Genomic DNA, 22,364 nt, shown 5'->3' on the forward strand with positions numbered 1-22,364 from the left:
GGGCGCCTGTGGTCCCAGCTACTCGGGAGGCTGAGGCAGGAGAATGGCTTGAACCTGGGAGGCGGAGCTTGCAGTGAGCCGAGACTGCACCACTGCACTTCAGCCTGGGTGACAGAGCGAGACTCTGTCTCAAAAAAAAAAAAAAAAAGAAAAGAAAAGAAAAAAGAAAGCTGCTTCGATGAGAACTTGCTGAGTTCGAACTCTCGTCTTTTACTTTCACTGTGGTGATTTCTCATTTATTTTCTTCACTCAGTCCTGGGGTTTTTGTTCTTCCCACCCCATTTTCCCTGCTCGAAAAAGGAGACAATTTGAATACAAAATATGGAATAACAGAAAGGGGGATTTTTGAAAGTTCTCTGTAGGAAATAGAAACCAAAAAGGAAATTCAGTGACTAAGCCAGATGACAAAGGGAATTGCCCAACTGTTACCTAGTGTAGATAGGCTGGATGTATTTGACCTGACTTCTTTGAAACTGCATGTTTCCTAGAAACTGCAGAGAATCCTTTCAGTGCCAGCCATACTCCTCCCTGCTTCCATTGTTGTTGTTACTAGAAGAGAAATTTGAGATCTTTCACAGTTGTTCAAAGTATGTGGTATTTCAAACCTAGCTTGAAATACGTTGACATTCATCTCCAGTTTGGGAGTAGGCCAGGGGAAGAGCTCATATGATTTTTGAGGTCTATTGTTGTGAAATGTTAGAGCTGCTCACACAGGACTAAGTTTATTACTTTCGCAGTAGGTTCAGTAGCTGAGAACTTTAACTCACAGGCAAGGACAAAGTTTTTGGCACTTAGTACATGATGAATGATAACAAGGATATTATTTATTAGACATTTGTAATGCCCTGGACAGGTTTCACTACTTTGTGTGGATTATTCTATTTTAATTCTCCCAACAAATGCTTTCTCCCAATTTTACAAAAGCTAAGACACAGGGAGATTTAGTAACTTGCCCAAAATCACAGAGCTACTAATAAATGGATCTTAAGACTGAAACCCAAGCACTTTATTGTAGTCCTTTTGTGTTTGTTGAGTGAATCATCATAATAATCATCATTATTATTGTCCCTTTTTAATAAATGGATTCTAAGATCTGGACACTAAATATCTCATATTATCCTGGTTTCAATCCTACAAGACAATTTTTTTTCTATCTTTATTTTACAATGAACAGAGTGGCTGTTAGGCAGTATTTTTGGAGCTTTAGTTCCTAGACAAGGATTTGTGAGCAAGGGATATTTATTTTGAAGGTGCTCATAAGAAACGGGGTAGGACAGTGGGAAAGTGAAAACTGGAACGGAATGAAGCCAGTGACTGGGAACATATCTAGCAGGTTTTGTTGTGGGAACCAGGAGTTAGATCTCCTCAGGTAACTCTAGGAAACAATGTAAAATCTGCCTCCAATTTCCCTCTTGGGTGGGTTAGAAACCTGGGGTACTTTTCTTCCAACTTCCTTTCATTTCTGGATAAAGACTGGTCCTGAAAGCATAACCCCCTTGCACTCCTGACCTGGCCCACGTGTGGGCTGAGAAAAAATGCTTAGATGAAGGATCTCTGATGTTTGCAGTGAGATGCCATTGGAATGTGCAAGGTTGAGTGATAAAGGGAGATGGCCTTCACAGATGTTGTGGGTATCCCATCCATATTGCCCCTATCTTATGCAAAGATCAACCTTTCCTTAATGGCTTCTTCAATTTTGTGGCTGGTCGTTAGTTTAAATATATATATATACACACACACACACACACACACAATAGGAAAGTCTAAGCTATAGTCCTCTTTGCTGCAACTGATTTTGTGATCCTAACTGATATTCAAGATCTTCTCCTCTATTACCCATTCTAGGTTTTGCTCATACTTGATCAGGAGTTCTCCTTGTCTAGGTTGCCTTCTCAGTGGAGAGAAACATTTCTTCATTTCTGAGAAACCAGAAGACCTATTTCTGTGCTTTAATAAGGCTGTAGTTACTTCCAGTGCATCTTAACAGGCCATGCAAGCACCAAGAGTATCCCAGGGAATCCTTTGAGTGCCAGCCATACTCCTCCCTGCTTCCATTATGTACTATTTCCTCACAGAAACCATAATCATTTAAGCTTGCCAGTAGATCAATCCTTTTAATTGCCTGCTGGCTTGTCTACAAACATGAAATTCATAAAATGACCAGGTGGCAGCTATAGTTTCAGATTTAGTAGAACTTTACTATGACCCCTGGTAGAAAAACTGCTTAACTTCACCCTGAGAACTGGCCCTCTAGTCCAGCAGACTAGACAATGGATCACAAATTCACAAATAATTCAACGGAGAATACTCCTACTTTAACGCTTTGGTTCCCAGGCTCATATATTCCAGCTAGCATATAATATCCTTTAGTTATCCAATTATATACTGCATATTGAATGACAGTCCCCAACCCCACAATGGTCTCTACTGGCCATTCCAGTTTTGTTAGGCTGGCAGCTTTTAGATGATGTATAAGGACTAGTGGATTCCATGGTTACATTCGCATTGTTGTGCCTCTTTACTGTAAAGTAAAACTTTCAAAACTTTCTCTAAGCTGATGTTTAGTAGGATTTTAGGACATTTAAACAGACACTGCAAGTCCTCGAATAGGTGCTGGCTGAACCACTCTCAACAGGGGAATATCCATACCCAGAATTTATGTCAATTTCAGTAAAAAAAAAAAAAAATCACAGACTCCTCCAAGGTGCAAAAGGACTGATTTGATCACCTTGACATCTAGTGGTCTGGTTGGTCTTCTTGAAGGGTGGTATTATACTGAAGGCTCAGTGTCAATTTTTGTTGTCTTTGGGCCAATATTTAACGTGTAGTGAGATTGGCCTTGGTGAGAGGAAGCCCAGGTTGATGGGTCCATGCAAAGATTTCATCCCTGCTACCGTATCTGTTCTGTGCAAACACTAGGTAGCTGAGGATAAAGCCTGGCTCAAATCTACTGGATAAGTCATTTTAGCCACCTGGTTTGTTCAGTGTCTCTCTAAAACCTATATACTCTGGTTGACATTGACTTAAGACATAAAGATCCACACACTTTATGCACTTATTCCTATAGATTTACCTACAGACCTGTTTATTTCTGATCCTACAATTGTGCCAAGGCCAACTACATAAACCATTCTCCACTGCTCAAGATTCTGTATATAGCCTTACTTCAGGCCACTTCTTCCTTTACACAAAATTGCTTACCTGTTAACTGTTTAAAATCTGTCCACAGAGAACATTTCACAACAATATTTTTGGGGGCCATCCCTAGCTGCAGCAGCAATGTATTTCAATTTGGTTTCTATAAATAATAGACATTGGAGACTACAGAAGATGGGTAGGTAGAAGTGGGGAGAGGGTTGAAAAGTTACCTATTAGGTACGATGTTCACTATATGGGTGATGGATACAGTAAAAGCCAAGATTCCACTGCTATACAATACAGGCATGTAAGAAATCTGCCTTTGTACTCCCCAAATCTATACTAATAAAATTTTTATGAATAAAAATAAACAAAAACTAATCCAACTAAAATTCTAACTATTGTAAAAATTAATTAGTATTAAAACTAAAAGTAAAGATATTTTCAGACAAAAAAGTAGGAAAACCCAAACACTGGAATTAGAACAGATAATTTTATGCCTGGAGTTATGCTCTCAGGTATGTTGAAAACTTCTTGTATACACTTTCAAAATTCCACTGGCCTCATATCTTACTACATCCTCTGCTGACATCACCATTTCAGCAGCTTTGCACAGGCATCACTGGGTTGGTGCTTCATATTTTCGATGCTTCTGCAGCTAGTATTCCAGCAAGAACTTGCTCAACACCTTTTCATGTACAACACAGAACTGTGAGAAAGTTATCATGCATGATAGAAGCCAATGAGGAAATGGCTTTCTTTCTTGTTTTCTGTGTGTTCCATTCTGACGTGCCTCTCATAACATGTTTTAGAGAACAGTGGTGAAATGGAATAGCGGTGACCCACAGTGGTGACCAAATCAATAACATTATTTCATTGGCCTATCCTCCTTTCCTGTTTTACTTCCCTGATCCTCTCTCCTGTTTCTTTATATTTTCTTTTAGGGTCATTTTTCTAAAGAAAACTCTTTTTAGCCAGGCCTTTCTCCCAGGCTCTGAATTTGGGAGAACATAGAATAAGACAGATGGTAATGGAGATCCTGGCACGCAACTCCACAGGGTTGGAATTTTAGAGTGAATCACTAATTGGCCAAAGATCCATAAAGTCTATACAGGCAGTAATAAGTGGAAAGATGGTAACTTCTTACATGTAGGTGAACTGGAATGAGACGCAAGTGGAAAATGAAGTGTTGGGTTAGGCTGTGGGCCTTTAAACGGTATATGGGTCTTTGGTAATTATAAGGATGTTAGAGTCAGCTGACATTTGTTAATTGCCTGAAAAAGCCATGGAAAAAGAAAATAATAAGCTATGAATGTTCCTTGGGGTCCCTAATCTGCCATGTAAGAAGTCCACCTACCCTAAGACTGTCATGCTGAAGAGACAAGACCAAATGTAAGCACTATAGTTGATATTCACAAATGGGCTCAAGCCTCTAACCATTGTCAACAAGGCCACAGTTATGTGAGTGAGGCCATCCCGGCCCACAAAATCAGTGCATCTGTTAACGAAATACCCAGGATCTGCAGCTGGAACCATTTGGAGTTAAAGCGTCACCCAGTCAAGCCTAACCTGAGTTTCTGACTGGCATAGTAATGAAATCATTGTATGTGTTATACAATATTGTAGTTAACTGCAATAAAATATTTTTTATTTAAAGCCACTAAATTTTGATGTATTTATAAGTAGCAATATGTAACCAGAGCATGGGTAAGTATAATTTACCTTGACCACAATAAGGAACTAGAGTTGTTTTTAATTTTTTGGAACACAGGGCATCGCTTGTTTTTTTCAAGCGATGAAACCACGGTAGCAGCAACCATAGGGCATCGCTTGGTTTTTCAAACGATGAAACCACAGTAGCAGCAACCACCACAGTTAAAAAAAAAATGAAGGTAACTTAAGGGTTTAAACTTCTTAGGGTGAGGTTTGGCTCAGTTTACAAACAAATTGCAACATCCAAAGTGCTGCCTGAGGATTAAAGAAATCTCAAATAAGTGGTGCTATGGTTTGAATGTATGTGTCCCTTCAAAATTTATACACTGTAACTTAATACTGAAAGTGATAGTATTAAGAGGTAGGCCTTTTAAGAAGTGATTACATCATGAGCACACCACCCTCACGAATAGGATTAGTGTTCTTATAAAAGAGGTTGAAAGGGGTGCCCTAATCCCTTTTGCCTTTTTCCTCATGTCAGGACACATACATTGCACCATCTTGGAAGCAGAGAGTGAGCCTTCACCAGACATCAGATCTGCTGGTGCCTTGATCTTGGACTCCCCAGCCTCTAAAACTGTGAAAAATAAATTTCTCTGATGTATAAATGACTTAGTCTGTGATATTTTGTTACAGCAGCATGGAAGGACTAAGATAAGTGGTATAAGAGGCAGATGAAAAAGGGATAAAAGACTACAAATTGGGTACAGTGTATACTGCTGTGGTGATGGGTGCCCCAAAATCTCACAAATCACCACTAAACAACTTACTCATGTAACCAAATACCACCTATTCCCCAAGAACTTATGTAAATAATTTTTCAATGACACATGCCATAAAAAACATTCAAACCCCTATAATTAAAGAGTTCAGATGTCTTCATAAAAACAATCAATCAAAGTCTCAAAATCTGCTCTTGTAAGCAGGAGATAGTTTTTCCTACTAACCTTTTGTTAAATCTCAACAATTCCCAGCTGATAAGACCTTGAAAGAGATTCTATGATGGGCTGTCCCACTGGAGAGGGCAAGTGGATTGAATGATATTATGAGTTGGACTGTACTAGCACTCCTTGTATACCACTTCAAATGTATCATGGATCTACTTCACACTCCAGGTTCTGTTATTGGAACCAGTCCTACATGGGCTGGGATAAGCTTCATGCTGATGAGCACTTTGCTTCAGTCCAGTGCCCTGTGGCATTTATTTCTTGCCATGAGGCTTTTCAGATCCTGCAGCACAGATCTCACACTAAAACACACTTAGCACTCATTCTCTCAAAAATTGAAACATAAGCCAAACTTTATCAATAAAAGATGAGAGCTGATGGATAAATTCTTTCCTTTCTCAACTTGTTGGGGGAATGGTTCTGAAATACATTCTGTAACATTTCTCAAGACTCCATTTGAATTGACATCTCTATCACAGCAGTGCTGAATTGATAACCCATTCTTTGATTGACTTTCCTTCCTTCCCTGTTTCATTCTATTTCTCATTTCTGCTCCGTAGAATCATATTCCCACTTAAGCCATCTACAAGCAAGCCTTTATTTTGGGCATTTCAGGCTATGCTTTGAGGGAAATTAAAGCTAGACAACCAGGAATTTATTATTTTATATATCAGAATACCAATATTAATCAAGTTTATTAAAGTGAACTTAGGGTATTCTTTTATTCCTACTCTACTTTCTGTTTGCAATTTATTTCACTTCTAGTAACAATTTGGATTCCATACTGGACATCTATGTACTTAGTTATCTAATTATATATATATTATATATATATAATTTTAATATATAATATATATAATTATAATATATTATTTATAATATAATTATATATATGTAATATATATAAAGTGACACCTCTACTTTTAAAATAGACCCAGACTCTGACCACTTTTTGGCCCCTTTCCTGCCACCTTTCCAGTATGTCACCATTATCTCTCATTGAGATGATTACAGGAAACGCCAATATGACTCTCTGCTTCTATTCTTTCTCTATTTCAGCATTTTGTGTGGTTCTTTTTACATCATAAGTTAGATAACGTAATTGCAATGCCCCAAATTTCCCAATGACTTGTAAATCTTTAAAAGATCCTTAAAAACGAAAGTCTTAATATTGGCTTAATAAATCTTTCTCCTAACCTCTTCTGCACCTCACTTCCTACTGCATGCTGCTGCCTTCTTGCTGTTCCTTGACAGGATTTGTCCTGTCCAAGATGTTGCACATGCTATTCATAGTACTTACAAAACTCTTCCTTCAGATATATACTGCTACTCACTCTCTTCTTTCAAACGTTTTCCCATCAATGGTGTATGGTATCTTGTATGAACACTCAAATTCATAAACTTCTCTCTTCCTCTGACTCAAATTTTTATTTCTCCCCTCTTTTTTTCCATAGGACTTATCATCATCTGATGTATTTTGCTGATTTATTTATTTATTTATATCCTCTATAGCTCCTTTAGAAAGTTTCATGTGATGGGTCTTTGTACCTGTTTTGTTCATTGCTATTATCTCTAGCACTTCAAATACTACATAGTATAAAACAGATACTTAACAAATACTGTTTAAATGAATTAACAAATAGGTGAGTAAACAAATGACCTGTGGTATATTCAATATTTGTAAAATATGACACAAATTCAAGGTAGAGACTTAACTCAGTTACAGTCTCTAACAGATCATCTCCCCGCTGACCACAGTTCACTAGTACAATGGTGTGCACCCAAACCAAGCTAATATAGTGGTGCTTCCTCAACTTAGGACAAGTGATTTGGACTCTTAATGATATGAGAAGACTGGTCAAGCAAACATACAAATATATACTTAGACACATGTAGTAAATCAGTAGTTCAGAAGATCCTGACTAAGCTAAGCAATCAGGATAAATTTGCCAAATTGAAGAAGAGATCATATTGGGAGCAGGACAGCTATTTAAGGAGTTTTAAGTCATATCCTATATGAGAATAGATGTACCTTTGCTCTGATTAAAAGAGAAGTCTCTCCTGATAAAAGGAACATCTTGTGAACACTAACATGGTGAATTAGTTTGTTTTCACACTGCTGACAAAGACATACCTGAGTCTGTGCAATTTACAAAAGAAAGAGGTTTATTGGACTTGCAGTTCCATGTGGCTAGGGAAGCCTCACAATCGTGGCAGAAGGTGAAAGTCACATCTTACATGACGGCAGACGAAAGAAGAGCCTGTGCAGGGAAACTGCCCCTTATATTACCATCAGATCTCATGAAACTTATTCACATATCATGAGAACAGCATAGGAAAGACCTACCCCAATGATTCAGTTACCTCTCACCAGGTTCCTCCCACAACATGTGGTAATTCAAGATGAGATTTGGATGGAGACACAGCCAAACCATATCATCTGGTCTCAAAAATGAAAAGATGCAATTATTTGGATATAAAATCAAAACAGGTACTGAATGAGAAGAATGAATGCTGCTCAAAACTGATTAATGTTAAGAAAATTAGATCAAGAAATTCTCCTCAAAAGCATAGTAAATGAATATAGACCCACCATGAAAGAAAACACACAGAGAATAAATCCAGGAGGTGCATTATCTGCATTATAGGAGTTCCAGATGGAGGAATAGAAGCAAAAGGATTCCCAAAAATAATTAAAGAATACCATAAGAACATTATCTTAAAAGACATATTTATATCTATCCTGGTGCAGTTTCCAAAGTCCAAAGATAATTAAAAGTTTTCCAATGGACTATTATTTACCTATAATGTAAGGAGTATCAAGCTTCTCATCCCTAATGCTATAGAAAACATGATCTGGTGATGTAGAATTTTATTATTATTATTATTATCATCATTATTTTGAGATGGAGTCTTGCTCTGTCACCCAGGCTGGAGTGCAGTGGTGCTATCTTGGCTCACTGTAACCTCTGCCTCCAGTGTTCAAGTGATTCTCCTGCCTCAGCCTCCCTACTAGCTAGGATTACAGGTGCACACCACCTTGCCTGGCTAATTTTTGTATTTTTAGTAGAGTTGGGGTTTTGCCATGTTCACCAGGCTAGTCTCAAACTCCTGACCTCAGGTGATCCGTCCACCTCGGCCTCCCAAAGTGCTGGGATTACAGGTGTGAGCCACCACACCTGGTCGAATTTTATGTAAAGAAAAAATGCCATTTATAGATACATGCAAAATAAATACTTTTCCTAATAATGAAGAACTTGTAAAGTTTATGATACATGACATTCTTGACAGAGAAATACAAAAACATATGATCATTACTGATGGCAGTAAAAGTATGGTAAAACCTAAGTAACACCTGGTAATGTATTTGGAAATACATTACAAATGCTAAAAATATTTTTTTCTTAGAAAATGTCTATTTAGTGTTTAAGTTTCCTTGTCTGCAGAAGGGGATATTGAATAGGTGATCTCACTGCAAAGCCCTGCTCTGCTGTGTTCCCTTCTTCAACCTGAACTTTCTCTAGCTGGGTCAGTTGGCCCCAGTCTCTTTCTCAGGCCACTATTTGTTCTCAAAGTACACTGGGACTTGTAGACAACACTTCAGCCTCTGAAGACCAACACACTGTAGTTCTGCAAGATCAACAAATTGACTCCTACCTAATTCCTGAGCTCCTATAACCCACTGAGTAGTCATGTCTTATGAATGGGCTTCTGTGTCCCCCATTTCTGAGTCCATATACTGTTAATGGCATCTCAGCATCTTACCACCTCTTTGTACTTGGCCCTGGCTTGTTTCATGGTAGCTCACCTCTGAGGCACTGGAGCCCTGGCCATAAATTCTTCTCTGAACACAATGCCCTAATTGCTGTACCAAGTTTGGAACTTCCTAGAGACTTGTTGAATGGCTTTGCTCAAAATGCTGATAGCAATATAGACAATGAAATCCAGGCTGAGGTGGTCTCAGATGGAGATAAGGAACTTATTGGGAACTGGAGCAAAGGTGACTCTTGTTATGTTTTAGCAAAGAGATGGGTGGCATTTTGCTCGTGCCCTAGAGATTTTGGAACTTTGAACTTGAGAGAGATGATTTAGGTATCTGGCAGAATAAAATTTTTAAACAGCGAAGCATTCCAGAGGTGACTTGGGTGCTGTTAAAAACATTGAGTTTTATAAGGGATGCAGAGCATAAAAGTTCAGCAAATTTGCAGCCTGACAATGTGATAGAAAAGGAAATCCCGTATTCTGAGAAGAAATTCAAGCCAGCTGCAGAGATTTGCATAAGTAATGTGTAGCTGAATATTAATCCCCAAGACAGTGGGGAAAATGTCTCCAGGGCATGTCAGAGGTCTTCTCAGCAGCCCCTCCCATCACAGACTCTGAGGCCTAGGAGGAAAAAGTGGTTTCCTGGGCCAGGCCCAGGGTCCCCATGCTGTGTGCAGCCTAGGGACTTGATGCCCTGCCTCCAAGCTGCTCCAGCCATAGCTAAAATGCGCCAATGTAGAGCTCAGGCTGTGGCTTTAGAGGGTGCAAGCCTCAAACCTTGGCCACTTCCACGTGGTGTTGAGCCTGCCAGTGCACAGAGGTCAAGAATTGGGGTTTGGGAACCTCTGCCTAGATTTCAGAGGATGTATGGAAATGCCTGGACGTCTGGGCAGAAGTTTGCTGCAAGGGTGGGGCTCTCATGGAGAACATCTGCTAGGGCAGTGTGGAAGGGAAATGTGGGGTCAGAGCCTCCACACAGAGTCCCTACTGGAGCACTGCCTAGTGGAGCTGTGAGAAGAGGGCTACCATCCTCCAGACCCCAGAATGGTAGATACACTGATAGCTTGGACCATGCGCCTGGAAAAGCTTCACTCAATCCCAGCACATGAAGGCAGCTCAGAGGGAGGCTGTACCCTGCCAAACCACAGGTACAGAGCTGCCCAAGACCATGGGAGCTCACCTCTTGCATCAGCGTGACCTGGATGTGAGATATGGAGTCAAAGGTTATCATTTTGGAACTTTAAGATTTGACTGCCCTGCTGGATTTTGGACTTGCATGGGGCCTGTAGCGCCTTTGTTTAGGCCAATTTCTCCCATTTGGAATGGCTGTATTTACCCGATGCCTGTACCTCCATTGTATCTCAGAAGTAACTAACTTGCTTTTGATTTTACAGGCTCATAGGTGGAAGGGACTTGTTTTGTCTTAGATGAGACTTTGGACTATGGACTTTTGAGTTAATGCTGAAATGAGTTTAGACTTTGGGCTATTGTTGGGAAGGCATAATTGGTGTTGAATGTGAGGACTGGATTTGGGAGGGGCTGCAGTGAAATGATATGGTTTGGCTGTGTCCCCCACCCAAATCTCATTTTTAATTCCCACGTGTTGTGGGAGGGACCCAGTGAGAGATAATTGAATCATAAGGGCAGGCCTTTCCTTTGCTGTTCTCATGATAGTTGAATGGGTCTTATGAGATCTGAGGGGTTTTAAAAAGGGAGTTTCTCTGCACAAGCTCTCTCTTTGCCTGCCGCTATCCACGTAACATGTGACTTGCTCCTCCTTGCCTTCTGCCATGATTGTGAGGTTTCCACAGCCTTAGTGACTAAGACATAGTCACTGTCTTAGACTGTTTGTGTTGCTACAGCAGAATCCCTGTTTTATTAAAAAACAATTGAGAGACGTTTACTTGGATAATGATTCTGATGTCTAGAAAGGCCAAGGTTGGGCAGATGTATCTGATGAGAGCTTTGTGTTATGCCCATTCATGGAAGAAAGAAGAAGCAGGGGTGAGTGTGTGCAAAGAGATCACGTGGGGAGGGAGAAAGCAAGGAAGAAATACTGAGGAAGGTAAACTCTTTTTAACAACCTGCGTCCTTGGGAACTAATCTACTCCTGCAAGAGTGAGAATTTACTGGCCCCAGTGGAAGGTCACTAATCTATTCATGAGGGATCTGCCCCCATGACCTAAACATCTCCCACTAGCCTCAATTCCCAACACTACCACATGCGGTATCAAATTTTAACATGAGCTTTGACAGACAGAAACCACATCCAAACCATAGCAGTCACCTACTGAAACAAAACATATTTTCTACCTCAAGCATACCATCTCAAACTGCATGCCCTCCCAAAGGAAAAGAAAGCAAATTGAGGACTGATTCTTATTATTTTCCTGTAATATTTGGGTGGTTTCAAGGGCATGCTGAGACCACGCTGGGCCACTGCCGATTCTTGCTGTACGACTATTGTAGTAATGATGAAGGTGACCTCATTTTCTGATGGTTGGGGTAATTATTTAATCTGAGAAAGCAGGATATAGCACCTTCTGTAGCCTTCACTCTCAAATGGAAGACAATCAAAAAAGCACATATGGGTGTAATAAATTTTACTGAAGATATGCATATGGGCAGCCGTGTTTTTCCTATGTTTCCTTTGCCCATCACAAATTGAGGGGACCCTCAAGCTCTCACTATACTGAAGAATATCCCCTTTCCGCATTTCTACCTTCACTCTGTCCTCTTCCTCATTCTATCTTCTTTTCTCCTACCCACTACTTTGCTTTTAGGAGCAAATAAAAATTCTCCCACAGAGCAATTTGGCATAATTTGTTATTAGGTTTCCTCTAGTACTTCAATCCTTATATTTTCTCTGTCCGCTCCAATAGACACATCATGAGGTTTTACAAATATGAGCATTTCCCTGTCTGAGCGTGTTGGGGTCAAATGTTCAAATAATAAAACTCAGCTTTACCTTTTATAATATGTTATTTCAGTAGCTATTTTGCTGCAGGAGAGGAGGAGACTGCCAAAACAATGACAGTTGCAAATAGTGCAGACACTGGACTTTGGAAACTCTGTGGAAAAATGTACCACAGGAAGACAGAAGCATAGGGTTTAAATTGAATAGACATTTTGAGAAGTCTAGGAAAGTTCCTATCTAAGCAGTAGCTGCACATGCCATAAAATTTGTCTGGACCTTGAAGCACAGGTGGCCCCAATGGAAGAATGTGATATCTGAAGAGTGTCTGCAGAAGCACCCAACAGAATAGTGGTTTAGTTATCCTTGCATAATTTTTTTACGTGGTGTGCTGCAAGTTTAGATTTTTTTTAAAAAATCATGTTTTTGTTTTTCTAGAACAGAAAAGCAACTGATTTCCTAGAATCGAGCCTAGTATGTAGGTAGCTCTTTGTTGCTTTCAGTTTCAATATGAATTATATTTCAGGAAATGTTTTAAGTAGACTTGAATTGGCCCAAGAGGCTGCTTTTCTGGCTGCAAAACTGTTACACTAGGTCATTTTAAAGCATAATGTCTGAAAGCATATACAATTTGGAGGGAATAAGGGAGAAACATCATTATTTTAGACTTCCAGCACCTCCTTGTTTGTTGTTGTTTTTCAAGTGCCATGCACTCAGCCCTTAAAAATGTTTGTACAAACAAGTTTATCATTATAAGAAGCTGAAGACAGGCCTCTTCCCAGGGCTGACTTAATAACTTGGTCATCATTTTCAGTGGTCTTCAATTCATTCTCCATGTGCTAGACTCAGTGATTTAAAACACACACACATAAATTGAATTATGTCACTTTTTTGCACAAAAGTCTAAAAATATTCCTATTGCACTTAGGCAAAAATCCTGTCTCCACACTATGGCCTGCAAGATTCTACACGATCTGGTTCCTGCCTGTCCCTCTCTAAACCCAGTCTATTTCAGCTTCACTACATGAACTTTCAGTCTGGATCAAACATGCCAAGATATTCCCTAATCAGGAACTTTGCACAAAATCCCTCTGCCTGGCACTCATTTTCCTTTCCTGACTAAACCGTACTCACTAAAACCTCAACTCTGCTTTCCTCAGGGAAATATTTCTGACCTGCTAATCTAAATTAGGTCACTTTTCTACATTTACTTGTGACATTCTGTGCTATTCCTTTACAATGCTTATCAGAAATTAAAACATATTTGTTGATATGACAAATTGTTAATGTCTGTTTTCTGGACTAAAAACATCTAAGAACCATAGCAGTTTTGCTGATGTCATCACCTTTCCCTAGTGTCCAGCACGTGGTCAGCGGTCAATGTTCATTTATTGAATGATTGAACGCAATCCATGTTTAAAAGTGCTTACTTTGTTGTCATTCAGCACATATGAGTTTGGTTCTTTGCATCGCGGCCTTTTGATCTCATAGAACAACTATGGAAATCCCAACTCAAAATGCTCAAACATGATTTAGTGAATATGAGCCCATGTTACTCTTGTATTTGTTACTGTTGTTGTCATCATCATTGTCATTCTATCATGTTAGGTTTCATTTTGATGGTTCTGTGACTTGAAAGAAATCCTTGTTTCTATAAGATAAATGTGTTGTATAAAGAGGCAGTAAGCTTAGGGGTTTCACTTGGGCTTGTTTCATAATTTTAGCAATGGTACTGGATTTCATTCTAATATCAATTATTTACTTGTTATTATTCTGAATAGAAAATACAAATAATTACAAGAGACTTCTGATTCTGGCAGCATTTTGAACTAGATTAGTTAAAACTTTATTATAAAACAATGAAAAATTAATAAAACAGGGCAAACATCTTTTCTCATTGTTTTCCAGGGCTGACACAAGTAAATACCACATTCCTTCCTCAGTCCCCACAAAGGTCATGTCCTTCTCACATAAGAAATACATTCATCCCAACCCAACATCCTCAAAAGTATTAACCCATTCTAGCATCAACTCGAAATCCAAATCTCATCTAAATCAAGAATGGGTAAGATTACAGGTATGAATCATGCTGGGGAGAAGTTCATCTCCAGCTGTGAACCTGGAAAAACAGACAAGTTATCTGCTTCCAAAATACAATGGTGACAGGTAAAGGATAGACATTCTCATTTCAGATGAAAGAAATTAGAAGGAAGGGGATCTTGTATCCCAAGCAAGTCAGAAACATAGCATGACAAATTCCATTAGATTTTGACGCTTGAGAATCATCCTCTTTGCCACCTTGCTCTGTTCTCTGGGCCCACACTGGGGTGGTGGACTGATCCTACAGGCCCACCCAGGCAACAACCCCACCTTCTCAGGCCTGGGTGGTAGCTCCACTTTCCGGAGCCAAGGAGAAGATAGCTCCATCTCCTGGGCCTGTGTCCTCTGGGCCCATGTTGGCAGCCCAGCTGGACTCTACATTCGTGGTTCTGCAAAGTTATTCTTCCTTCATTTCATCCTGTCTCTGTCTCTTTTCCTCGAGACTAGCAATGTTTCTGCTTGGGTAAAATTCTCAAAAATCTTGTGCAATTTACAAGGGTTTGCACCATCAGAAAAAGTCTTCTACAGATCATTTCTGACTAACTACATCTCTATTACTGACTTCTACTGAGATCGATTGATTGGATTCATGAGTCACATGCCTAATATCTTTAGCAAATGATTGTCCAGCCACCCCCTTGTCACTGTGTCCAGAGCATGCTATCTGGATAGGCTGAGAATCTTCCAAATCATTAAGTGTTACTTTTTTTTAGTTGCTTAGTTGTTTCTTCTTCCATTTATCTGTCTCCTTTCATTTTATCACAGTAGCAAGAAGAAAACTGGCTGTACCTTTAATTCTTTGTTTAGAAATCCCCTCAGCTAAATATCATCAAAAGGTCTAATTTCCACAAAACACTGGAACACAATTTGGCCAAGTTCTCTGCCACTTTTATTTATTTATTTTATTTTTTTATAGTTGGATTATTTTTTATTCTAATGTTACTTGAATAAGAACAAAATTAAAATAAACACACAAAAAAATGCCTCTGTGAATCAGTCACAGGGTTCCTGTAAGTCTGGGCTGGTGTCCTTTCTCTTCTGCTTGCCTAGCTCTTTGATGGTCTCTGTCTCTGCAGGACTAAACTTGGAGGTTAGCGTCACATTGTCATAATCAAATTCCTCATCAAGTGAGAAGGGTTGAGCTTCATCTCCACATATCTCTTCCATCTGTTTGTCCATTCTTTTTACAGTAGGCTTTGGCTTCACTTCACAGGTGGGAGGCTGGGCCACAGAAGGATACAGGAAGGAATGCTGGTGCTTACATCCTACTCCACTTCTCCTGGGAGCAGCAGCAAATCCTCACTTTTTTGGGGTTTATTCTCTTCATCCATGTCCAAATCTTCCAAATCTAGGAAATTGTCTACCTGTTCTTCCAAACATTGTGATGAAGTACGAAGAAAAATGGTTTTATTTCTAAGATGGTAGTCATTAGCTTCATTTTTATGAGTAACTTTTGCTTAGGTAAAAATGTTTTCCGAAGAATCAGTTCCAAACACTCCCCTTTTGGACACAAGATCCTCTTGTGAAAGATGAGTAAAAGTGTTCAGAAATTCTTCATCATATGTTTGCTCATGACAATTAAGGAATTTATCCAGGACTTCTTTGATTAATTGATCTTCATGCATTATTTTCAATCCTGATGTATGAGCCCACATTCCTATTCACGAGGCCACAGTATCTATGAGTGAAAACATGTAGTGTTTGTCTTTCTGTCCATGCAATAGTTTGCTCAGAGTTATGGTTTCCAGCTTCATCCATGTCCCTACAAAGGACATATTTATTTATTTTTTAAAGTTTTGTTTTTATTTGAAATGGTGGACTATATTGCCCAGGGTGGTTTCAAACTCCTGTATCAAGCTATCCTCCCACCTCAGCCTCCCAAAGTGTTGGGATTACAGGCATAAACTACCATGACTGGCCTCTACCACTTTATAATGAGAATTGCCTTTCCTCAAGTTTCCAGATTACAGATTACTAATTCCTGGAGATATTTCAGCTGTGTCTTTTATTTTCATCAGCATAGAGAATACTCAAAATCCTTGCCTCTCCCATGACACAGGTGCCTAATTTCTGTGATAATTATGGTATATTAATCAGTGTTCTCCCGAGGAAGTGTGTGTGTGAAGGTGTGTATGTGTGAGGAGGGACAGACAGACAGAAAAAAAAGAGAAAGAGACAGAGACAGAGAAAGATTTGTTTTAAGGAATTGGATCAGCTGTGGGGCTGGCAAGTCTGACATCCAGAGGGCAGGTCTGCAGGCTGGACATTCAGGTAAGAGTTGATGTTGCAGTCTTCAGTTCAAAATTCGCAAAGCAGCGGGTTAGAAACCCAGGGTAGATTTTTACATTTCAGTCTTGAAAAGAACACCTTTTTCTTTAGAGAACGTTTGTCTTTTTAAAGATCTTCAACTGATGAGTTGAGTCGCATTCACATTATAGAGGGTAATTTGCATTACTCAATGTCTGCTTTGAGTTTAAATATTAATTACATCTAAAAGCTACCTATATAGTGCCATCTAGATGGTGTTTTACCAAAGAACTGGGCACATTAGGCTAGCCAAGTTGATACATAAAATTAATGTCAAGAAAATGACACCTGTTACCACCTCCAGGGGAGGAGTCCCACTAAGTGGAAGATAGAAAAGTGTATAAGAGTGCCCACCATCAGGAGCAGCAGTCCCCAGATGTCTTCCCACTGCCTGGTTTGCAAGGTATTGTAATTGCCAAGAGACACATGACTCACATAGGTATTAGATGGAGCAACTCTTCACTCACATAGAAATAGTGCAAGATCAGCTTTAATAGTGCCTATGGCCGGTGGGTTTGTTCCACAGCCAATACAAGGAGATGGGGTCTGTACACAGTCGTCTTGTGCTACAGGTAAAGCACCCCATTCTGTCCCTATTGGGAATAGATATAACAGTGAGGGTGGCCAGGTGTTATATGACATACACACTTTAAGTAGAACAAAAAGCATCTATCAAGACCAGAATAGAGAGACACACTCCCGAACACAGTGATATGCCCATCAAAAGGCTATGAGGGCTCCTTATCACCCTGTAAGGAAGTGTCCCAGGCCCAAAGCCACTCTTATGTGGTCATGAAGGGGTTGAAAGACTGTGCACATGAGACCACCTTTCCCAATAGTCCACCCCTCCCCTGACCCCTTCTGGGACACTGTAATGACAGATAAAACCTATTAAATCTGACAAGACCACTACCTGCCTCAAATTGAAAGATGGAGCTGGGTTTGAGTCTGCTGTGCCTCTGAACAACCTGTATGCATGCAGTTTGCTTTCAGAGCCTCCTTGTCATTTTGAGACAGCACTTCATCAGGTTCACTGGAAGAACCAGACCCAGGAGGATGATCAGGCCTTCCTGGAAAATGGTCCTCAACCAACAACATGAGTGCTTGGATTAAGCCAACTAAAGAGGTAAAAAAAAATGAGTGTAGAGAGAATGCAGGTGTACAGCTAATAACCATCCAGTTGAGCACCCCACCTTCTCCAATTCAGTTTCTACATTCCCTAAATTATTAAGGTATAAACAGCAACAAGTGTTGGCAATACCTACCTGTTTGGCCAGCACATAATTGAAGGCTATTCAGTTATCTATCACTATGGTGGTGAGTGAGTTCAGTGAGACTTACTGGTCTTGAAGCATGAAGAACATCCAAGTTGTCGTGTACAAGTAATTCTCTTACAACAAGATTGTAGGACAAGACAGTCTTCACTCTGGGATGACAAATCCAGCATTGTTTGAGTTTATCTCCTCTCTCCATAGCTGTGCTGATTCTCTTCAGGGTGTTGTTATGCCAGGCAGGGCAGAGGCTTCTGCAGCAATGAGATGAGGAAAGATTAGTGCTTCCTCACTCTACTGTTGATCCACAAACCTTCAAAGGCTGCAGACGCTCTTATCCAATTATCTGGGTGAGGATTGCCTGGGATAGCCACTCAAGCTGTCTATTTGAGTCCTAAGGTTACAACTTCTGCAGGGACATGCTGCCCTTATTGCTTGACCCAAATCCTTTGGCCTTGGTTGTCCAATTCAGGAAGAGGATCACATGTTGAACACATTTGTTATATTCTATAATATCACCCAGCTGTATTGAGGGGCCTGGAATCCCAGGTGTGATCAGAGGAATGCTGGTTCCTCAACATTCTGTTGCTCCTTTCTCCATCCACATTGAGAGGCACCAGAAGGTAGCATTGCCTCCAGGTTTGAATTGGGAGGCCCTATTATGGTGCCATTGTAGCCCAGATCACAACCACCTTTGGGGAGTACTTTCCTGTAGGAAAATAGATAAAGAATGATTGGATATACTGAGATTGGGATTTTGAAGGTGCAGCCCAATCAAGAAACTCCCTGGTCCCCCACCTCCTCCCAGCTCAGTATTTCCCAGCATGAATTGCAGTGCCACGTTTAATGTCAAAATGGATTTTCTTAGTGTATTAGTCTGTTCTCATGCTGTTAATAAAGACATACCAGAGAGTGGGTAATTTATAAAGGAAAGAGGTTTAATGGACTCACAGTTCCACATGGCTGGGGAGGTCTCAAAATCATGGCAGAAGGCAAAGGAGAAGCACAGGCACATCTTACATGGCGGCAAGCAAGAGAGCATGTGCAGGGGAACTCCCCTTTATAAAACCATCAGGTCTCATGAGATGTATTTGCTATCACAAGATCAGCATGGGAAAAACCTGACCCCATAATTAAATTACCTCCCACCAGGTTCCTCCCACAACACGTGGGGATTATTACCATCCAAGGTGAGATTTGGGTGGGGACACAGAGCCAAACCATATCAGTTAGACAGGAGTGTCATCCTGTAGTCCTTCCTGATGATCTTTGTCTAGTTACTGCTTGAGCCACACATTTTATCATTTTATTACCCCATTTCTCTGGGTGAAATAGGGAAAATGCAAGATCCATCTTATGCCATGGGAACATGTCCACTGCTCTGTAGCTTGAGCAGTGAACACAGTGCTTTCATCAGATTGAAATTTTGCTGAACATATGCAAAGGTGCTTTTATAAAGCTACAGCAGTAGTTCTCTTGTCTACATGCTACACTGAAATGGTAGTCCCATATTCAGAACATGCATCAACAGTGGTGAAACACCACCAGAATCAGTGACTGGAAACTAGTGGTTTGATGTGGTCATTTTGCCATATTCATGTGGGTCCTAAACCCTGGTTAATTCAGGCTAGTTTATCACATTGCACAGCCTGGGTTACTGACAGAAATCACACTGCTGTGTTCTATCTTTGGCTTTTATTTTTCCTAGGGCAGGTCCTTATGATCTGGCCCATTCTTGCATCTGAGGTGGGCTCTGGGTCACATTCTATGGAGAACCCAATGAGCAACTGTGACAATTTTCTGAGCTCATGCTGGGTCAGCTCATGAGTGCCATCCACATTCCCTTTTGAATGGTCCTCTGCCATAGGTGTCAACACAAGTGATGAATAGGTGTCTTTTCCAGTCCATAAGCTGCTTCTACATTCCTGGTTTCTGCAGAGAAGCTCTTAATGGTCCAATCATTAATCTGCCAGTCACTGGACCATACGTAAATAAGTAGGAGGGAGTTGCTGTTGGAATACCTACACAAGTATTATTACCATGTAGAGCTTGGCCCATCAGGCCATGCATCCTTTTCTGGTCTGTCAAAACATGGCCATCCTTGGGGCATATGGCCACAGTGGCCCAGTGGACTCCAGCAGCTTTGAGTTTCATGGAACCATCCATTAATTAAGCCATATCATCAGCTGAAACATCTTCAAACTGAGGACCACATTTAGCTAAGGGAAAGGAGGGAGCATCCCATACAGGCCATTCAGCCCCCTCTCTAGCAAAGCAGCTACTTATTTACTCTCATTTGTAAAATTATTCTTCTATAACTTTCAGAAGGGTATCCTATAAGCTTATTTTAATGTTTTTCAGATTAATGCAAATTTGTTTTTTTCTTCTCCTCTGTATTCTAAACAACTGTTTACATTTCACTTTAAATTAATGAATCCAGCCAACATTTATTCTATCTTTTGTTTGCCAGGTATTGATATCCCATATTAGATGCTTTTTCTATTTTCATATTAAAATTTTGGTGAAGGACAGAAAAATGCATACAGACATAAAAATAAGTCAGAACAAAAAAGCTGTATCAAAAATGTTTTAAATTGCTTTAAATTATTATTCAAAGGAAATAAATTCAAATAGTAACAACATACATTTTATAATATCAACAGAGGGTAAAATTAAGACATTGCAAGCCATTGTGGTTGTTTTTCACAAATTTTTTCCTTTGACTTTGAAGTACAATTGTTTTAAGTGTTTTGCACATCGTCACTCGCTTTTCTTAGTTATTCAACTTGGTTATAAAAATACAGCAATAGGAAAGTAAATGGTAAACTTCTTAACATCTTCATTTTTTCAAAAATATGACTTTATATTAACAGCTTGTAACACTGTCTATATTTTTCTTTTAAAAGTGTTTTCATCATGAGAGGATGTTTGCAGCAGGAATATATCCTGGTTTGACTGGGAAAGTGAGAGGAAGCTATCAACACTTCCAGATAAGAAAAAAGAGAATTCTCTCTATGCTGTGTGCTTGTTCAGGCAGGCTATCTTCACCTGGAGACAACTGCCACTAGATTAGCTGTCAGTTCCCTGCATTTCTGAGTGTGCATATCTGCTAATTTTAGGTCAGTGTGGGCCTATCTTAGGATCTTTGTGTGGTAGGAGGGTTTCCGGTTTTAGGAAACACACTACCACAAAAAGATAACCTTGGCAAAGATAACCAATTGCTGCTTATATTAGATAACCCTAGTTAGAATATCCACCTGGTAAACCTGGGAACCCCATTTAATATTGGCTCCATGAGATCATCTGGAGTAATTCAAAACAGCACAAACCCTGGGAAAGTTATTTATATTTTATAAATAACTTTATAAAATAACAGTATTTTATAAATAACTTTATAAAATAACAGTATTTTATAAATAACTTTATAAAATAACAGTATTTTATAAATAACTTTATAAAATAACAGTATTTTATAAATGCTTGAGTTACCAGAATCTTAACAGAACTCTCCAAAGACACACTGTGAACAGAACTTAGAGGCCATGAATAAACCATTAAAAAAAAAACAGTTATTTAGGTTTGAATATAATACATGACAACGATGTCCTCTCTATGCCTTTGCTTTAATTTTCACCCATCCTATCCTGAAGTACCATGGCATTGCCCAGAAAGCACTGCCTAGATCCAGGCCAGACTCATCTCAAGCTTCAGAGTCTTCTGATCCTGCTCTCTCAGTAGGTTTTCCTTTTCTTTCACTCCTTTCTCAGTTGGGCTTTGATTTCCACAAAGCTCCTCTCTTGAGCCTCCAAGTTTTGCTGCTGTTCTTTACACCTTTGCTTGAGAAGCATTTTTTTCCTTTTCAGGTGATTTTTTTTTTTTTTTTTTGGCTCGCTTTGCTGATCCGTGAAGGTTTTTGAGAGGGAAGAAAAAGAACAGTCAGACGTGAGTGCCATACATCCCTTCTCAGATATCAAACTGCTGTTGAAAAGGCAGATGGGAAATATTTGAATTCATCCAGTGGCCATACAATAAGAGCAAACTTCAGAATGTGATGGGCAAGACACAGCTGTCTGGCTGACGCTCTACCACAACTCTGTTGTTATTTTCACATTTAGGAAGCTCCTTGTTTCAGAAAATCCTCCCATCAGATCTCTCAAACAGCCCTGCAGGAAACTACCCACCCTGATGGAAGCTGAGACCTGCCCCTGTACC

The 22,364-nt window shown here is 39.8% G+C and overlaps 2 pseudogenes across 1 annotated transcript; one reads left to right on the forward strand and one right to left on the reverse strand.

The window, feature by feature from the left end:
• The window catches only part of LOC100421401 (guanylate binding protein family member 6 pseudogene), a 65,535-nt pseudogene that overhangs the window by 36,685 nt on the left and 6,486 nt on the right, over window positions 1-22,364 (forward strand).
• On the reverse strand, window positions 15,150-16,254 carry LOC729930 (intraflagellar transport associated protein pseudogene; annotated as a pseudogene). The gene has a single exon (NR_077244.1). The product of NR_077244.1 is annotated as an intraflagellar transport associated protein pseudogene (transcript).

Source organism: Homo sapiens, chromosome 1 (genome assembly GCF_000001405.40).
Source record: "Homo sapiens chromosome 1, GRCh38.p14 Primary Assembly".
Lineage (NCBI taxonomy): Eukaryota > Metazoa > Chordata > Mammalia > Primates > Hominidae > Homo > Homo sapiens.